Below are 6,000 nucleotides of genomic sequence, written 5' to 3' on the forward strand. Positions count from 1 at the left end.
ACTATAATTAATTAAACAGCTCAAATTTGGCACTTAGATTGTTATAAAAATATAAACATGCTGTAGTAAACATTTTTACATGTATTTGTCTATTATTTGATAAAGATAAATTCCTAGATATGGAACTTGTGAATCAAACTATATGCATATTTAATTTATTTATTGTCATTATGACAGACTGCAATCCAGAAAGCCTGAATCAATTTACAGTTCCACCAACAACGTATCAAAATACCCACTTCACTCTACTCATGCCAATCTTTGGAATCTCTTTCAATCAAATTGGCAAAAGTCATTTTGTTATTTTAAAAACTAGACAAAGTCTCCTAAAAGAACAGCTTATATAATAATGCAAAGAGGAAAGTCCATTTTTGTTTGTTTTTAAAAGAAAGTTTGGAGCAAAGCTGAGTGACTCATGCCTGTAATCCCAGCACTTTGGGAGGCCGAGGCAAGAGGATTGCTTGAGCCTTGGAGGCAGAGGTTGCAGTGAGCCAAGATCGTGCCACTGCACTCCAGCCTGTGCAAAAGAATGACACCCTATCTCAAAAAAAATTGATTTTTTACAATGAGTATGGAATAATTTAAAATGAAAATAAATTCTCATATTAAACCAAAGAATCTGTCAAATTACCGGTTAATGAAATTGGCCTTCATTTAAAATTGGACTCCTTTTCTTTTTTTTTTTATTCTTTTTTTTTTAATTATACTTTAAGTTTTAGGGTACATGTGCACGACGTGCAGGTTAGTTACATATGTATACATGTGCCATGTTGGTGTGCTGCACCCAGTAACTCGTCATTTAGCATTAGGTATCTCTCCTAATGCTATCCCTCCCCCCTCCCCCCACCCCACAACAGGCCCCAGTGTGTGATGTTCCCCTTCCTGTGTCCATGTGTTCTCATTGTTCAATTCCCAACTATGAGTGAGAACATGCGGTGTTTGGTTTTTTGTCCTTGCGATCGTTTGCTGAGAATGATGGTTTCCAGCTTCATCCATGTCCCTACAAATGACATGAACTCATCATTTTTTATGGCTGCATAGTATTCCATGGTGTATATGTGCCACATTTTCTTAATCCAGTCTATCATTGTTGGACATGTGGGTTGGTTCCAAGTCCTTCCTATTGTGAATAGTGCCGCAATAAACATACACATGCATGTGTCTTTATAGTAGCGTGATTTATGATCCTTTGGGTATATACCCAGTAATGGGATGGCTGGGTCAAATGATATTTCTAGTTCTAGATCCCTGAGGAATCGCCACACTGACTTCCACAATGGTTGAACTAGTTTACAGTCTCACCAACAGTGTAAACGTGTTCCTGTTTCTCCACATCCTCTGCAGCACCTGTTGTTTCCTGACTTTTTAATGATTGCCATTCTAACTGGTGTGAGATGGTATCTCATTGTGGTTTTGATTTGCATTTCTCTGATGGCCAGTGATGATGGGCATTTTTTTATGTGTTTTTTGTCTGCATAAATGTCTTCTTCTGAGAAGTGTCTGTTCATATCCTCGCCCACTTGTTGATGGGGTTGTTTGTTTTTTCCTTGTAAATTTGTTTGAGTTCATTGTAGATTCTGGATGTTAGCCCTTTGTCAGATGAGTAGATTGCAAAAATTTTCTCCCATTCTGTAGGTTGCCTGTTCACTCTGATGGTAGTTTCTTTTGCTGTGCAGAAGCTCTTAAGTTTAATTAGATCCCCTTTGTTAGTTTTGGCTTTTGTTGCCATTGTTTTTGGTGTTTTAGACATGAAGTCTTTGCCCATGCCTATGTCCTGAATGGTATTGCCTAGGTTTTCTTCTAGGGTTTTCATGGTTTTAGGTCTAACATTTAAGTCTTTAATCCATCTTGAATTAATTTTTGTATAAGGTATAAGGAAGGGATCCAGTTTCAGCTTTCTACATGTGGCTAGCCAGTTTTCCCAGCACCATTTATTAAATAGGGAATCCTTTCCCCATTTCTTGTTTTTGTCAGGTTTGTCAAAAATCAGATAGTTGTAGACACGGGGCATTATTTCTGAGGGCTCTGTTCTGTTCCATTGGTCTATATCTCTGTTTTGGTACCAGTACCATGCTGTTTTGGTTACTGTAGCCTTGTAGTATAGTTTGAAGTCAGGTAGCATGATGCCCCCAGCTTTGTTCTTTTGGCTCAGAATTGACTTGGCAATGAGGGCTCTTTTTTGGTTCCATATGAACTTTAAAGTAGTTTTTTCCAATTCTGTGAAGAAAGCATTGGTAGCTTGATGGGGATGGCACTGAATCTATAAATTACCTTGGGCAGTATGGCCATTTTCACGATATTGATTCTTCCTTCCCATGAGCATGGAATGTTCTTCCATTTGTTTGTATCCTCTTTTATTTCATTGAGCAGTGGTTTGTAGTTCTCCTTGAAGAGGTCCTTCACATCCCTTGTAAGTTGGATTCCTAGGTATTTTATTCTCTTTGAAGCAATTGTGAATGGGAGTTCACTCATGATTTGGCTCTCTGTTTGTCTGTTATTGGTGTATAAGGATGGTTGTAATTTTTGCACATTGATTTTGTATCCTGAGACTTTGCTGAAGTTGCCTATCCACTTAAGGAGATTTTGGGCTGAGAAGATGGAGTTTTCTAGATATACAATCATGTCATCTGCAAACAGGGACAATTTGACTTCCTCTTTTACTAATTGAATACCCTTTATTTCTTTCTCCTGCGTGATTGCCCTGGCCAGAACTTCCAACACTATGTTGAATAGGAGTGGTGAGAGAGGGCATCCCTGTCTTGTGGCAGTTTTCAAAGGGAATGCTTCCAGTTTTTGCCCATTCGGTATGATATTGGCTGTGGGTTTGTCATAGATAGCTGTTATTATTTTGAGATACTTCCAATCAATACCTAATTTATTGAGACGTTTTAGCATGAAGGTTGTTGAATTTTGTCAAAGGCCTTTTCTGCATCTATTGAGATAATCATATGGTTTTTGTCGTTGGTTCTGTTTATATGCTGGATTATGTTTATTGATTTGCGTATGTTGAACCAGCCTTGCATCCCAGGGATGAAGCCCACTTGATCATGGTGGATAAGCTTTTTGATGTGCTGCTGGATTTGGTTTGCCAGTATTTCATTGAGGATTTTGGCATCGATGTTCATCAGGGATATTAGTCTAAAATTCTCCTTTTTTGTTGTGTTTCTGCCAGGCTTTGGTATCAGGACGATGCTGGCCTCATAAAATGAGTTAGGGAGGATTCCCTCTTTTTCTATTGATTGGAATAGTTTCAGAAGGAATGGTACCAGCTCCTCCTTCTACCTCTGGTAGAATTCGGCTGTGAATCCATCTGGTCCTGGCCTTTTTTTGGTTGGTAACCTATTAATTATTGCCTCAATTTCAGAGCCTGTTATTGGTCTATTCAGAGATTCAACTTCTTCCTGGTTTAGTCTTGGGAAGGTGTATGTGTTGAGGAATTTATCCATTTCTTCTAGATTTTCTAGTTTATTTGTGTAGAGGTGTTTATAGTATTCTCTGATGGTAGTGTGTGTTTCTGTGGGATCAGTGGTGATATCCCCTTTATCATAAAATTGGACTCCTTTTCTAAGTTCTAACCTAAGTTCCAATGTATTGACTATTTTACCTGGTTAATGTGCTCTGGTTTGATCCCTCATAGAAACTTTATTTGGTTAACACCAGCTTAGTAATAGGGGTATTAATCTACCTATAGAAATTTGAGGAAAATAATGGGGAAATTAGCTTTTATTATCTTGTAATCATTTTTATTTTAAGTCAAACTAGCTGTGTGACCTTAAAGAAGCTACATCATCTCTCTGTACCTCAGCATGCTCCTCTATAAAATAAAAAACCTGGAGTAAGTTGTGGCACCTCTACATTGTCATGCCCAGCAGGCTGATTTTCCGCCTGTTTCTTCTGGTAATGACACATTGCTGTTCCTTAAATGTGGTACCTAGGGAAGGAGCATCCCAGCACAACATCTGGCAAAGAACATCTGGAGATGATCTCTGAACTCATGTCTAGCCTTCTGATTAAGAAGTTGCCAAGAAAAACTAAAATGGTCATTTCCTCTGGGAAAGGGGCATGGGTGGTTTGTGGACAAGCTAGAATTGAGACTTAACATTTCCCTGTATTTCTCTTTAGAATTCTGCATCCTATTATTCCGTACATGTGTTACCTAGTCATTAGGTAAATACATATTTGGAAATCATTTTTGAAAAGACAACGTATAGTTCATAATCTCATCTTTTTAAGGGCACTGTCTTAGTCCCTTGGTGTTGTTATAAAGGAATATCTGAGTCTGGGTAATTTATAGGTAATTTATAAAGAAAGATTTGTTTGGTCCATTTTCTGTAGATGGTACAAGAAGCATGGCACTAGCATCTGCTGAGCTTCTGGTGAGGGCCTCAGGCTCCTTCTACTCATGGTGGAAGGCAGAGGGGAGCCAGCGTGTAGAGATCACAGGAAGAGAAAGGAAGCAAGACAGAGAAGGGGGAGGTGCCAGGCTCTATTTAATGCCAGTTCTCCAGGGAAATAATAGAATAAGAACTCACTCACACACCTCCAGCCAAGGGCATTAATCTATTCATGAGGAATCTGCCTCCATAACCCAAACACCTCCCATTAGGCCTCACATCCAATATTGGGGATCAAATTTCACCATGAGGTTTGGTGGGATCAAACACTCAAAGTATAGCAGACGTGCATAAGCTGAGGACTGGAATTATATATGTTAAAATACCAACAGTGGTTATCTCTTTATGGCAGAACTGTAAGTAATTTTGTTTTCTTTTCTATGATTTTATTTATTTTTATATGTTTTTTCCCTGAACATTCCCTCCTGTGGTCAGACAAACCTTTTACATTTTAAGCATTAATCTTGTAAAATAAATATGTAAAATAAAGATCCTAATGACACCAAATACACCAAAACTAGAAGGGAAAGTGTTGCCAGGAAAATCTCTACTAGCAGCCATGTCACTACACACACAGCTGGTGCTCAATATATGGTCTGCGAGTCACTGACTTTTACCTCCTGAATCCTCATGTCCTTTCTCATTGAGAGCTGTTTTCCTAACATAAGAGCCTCCTCTTCCTAAAACTCTCCTCTTCTGAAAACTTCCACCTCCTGCCTCATTTTCATCTTGGTAGGTCCTACTTGATGCTCAGGTATCCACTTTGCTCTCCCTCCTCCAAGAAGCTCTCCCAAATCACAGGTCTAGGCTGGGTCCCATGTATAATCATCTGCATAATTGCTGCCTCCTTACTAAACTGTAGGTCCATGAAATTAGGGCCATATCTGACTTGTTCACTGTTGCATCCCAAATACTTAGCACGGTCCTTGTCAGAGAGTAGATTCTTGATAAGTATGTGTTAAATGAATGAGTGAGATTACCTGTACAAACTTCACCTCTGGCATGCTACGTGCAGATTCCTTTTGAGCACCCTCACCTGGTCTTTAGCTTAATTCCCTTCCATCAAACCCTTACTTTGCCAGCTATTCATCTTCTTAATCAAAAATAACTTTTGTTGATGGAATAATAAAGAGTTGGAGTAAGGATACAACGCATTGTTGTTGGTTGAAATATGCACTTTACCCATGAAGCTTCTCATGGCCCTATGTATTAGTGGGTTCTGTGAATGGCTCTTGGATCTCAGAAGTTTTGGGAGATATTCTCTTATTTTCTGTAAAAATTAACTCAGCTGAGCAATTGGGGCAATAGAAGTCATTCAGACCCTCCTTCTGCAAGCTTACAGAGTTCACATTCAAATTATATTGAATAATTGCTGAATGTGATGACAGCGCTTGAGCTGATGTCCAAGATGATACTGATAAAAAGAGTTGTACTAATCCATTCCTTTAGAACAGTGATCCCTGAGCTTTTTGGCACCAGGGATGGGTTTCATGGAAGAAAATTTTTCCACAGACTTGGGGGTGGGAGGTGGTTTGGGGATGATTGAAGTGCATTATATTTATTGTGCACTGCGTTTCTATTATGACATTGTTATAGCTCATCATAA

This window comes from Homo sapiens, chromosome 5 (genome assembly GCF_000001405.40).
Source record: "Homo sapiens chromosome 5, GRCh38.p14 Primary Assembly".
Taxonomy (NCBI): domain Eukaryota; kingdom Metazoa; phylum Chordata; class Mammalia; order Primates; family Hominidae; genus Homo; species Homo sapiens.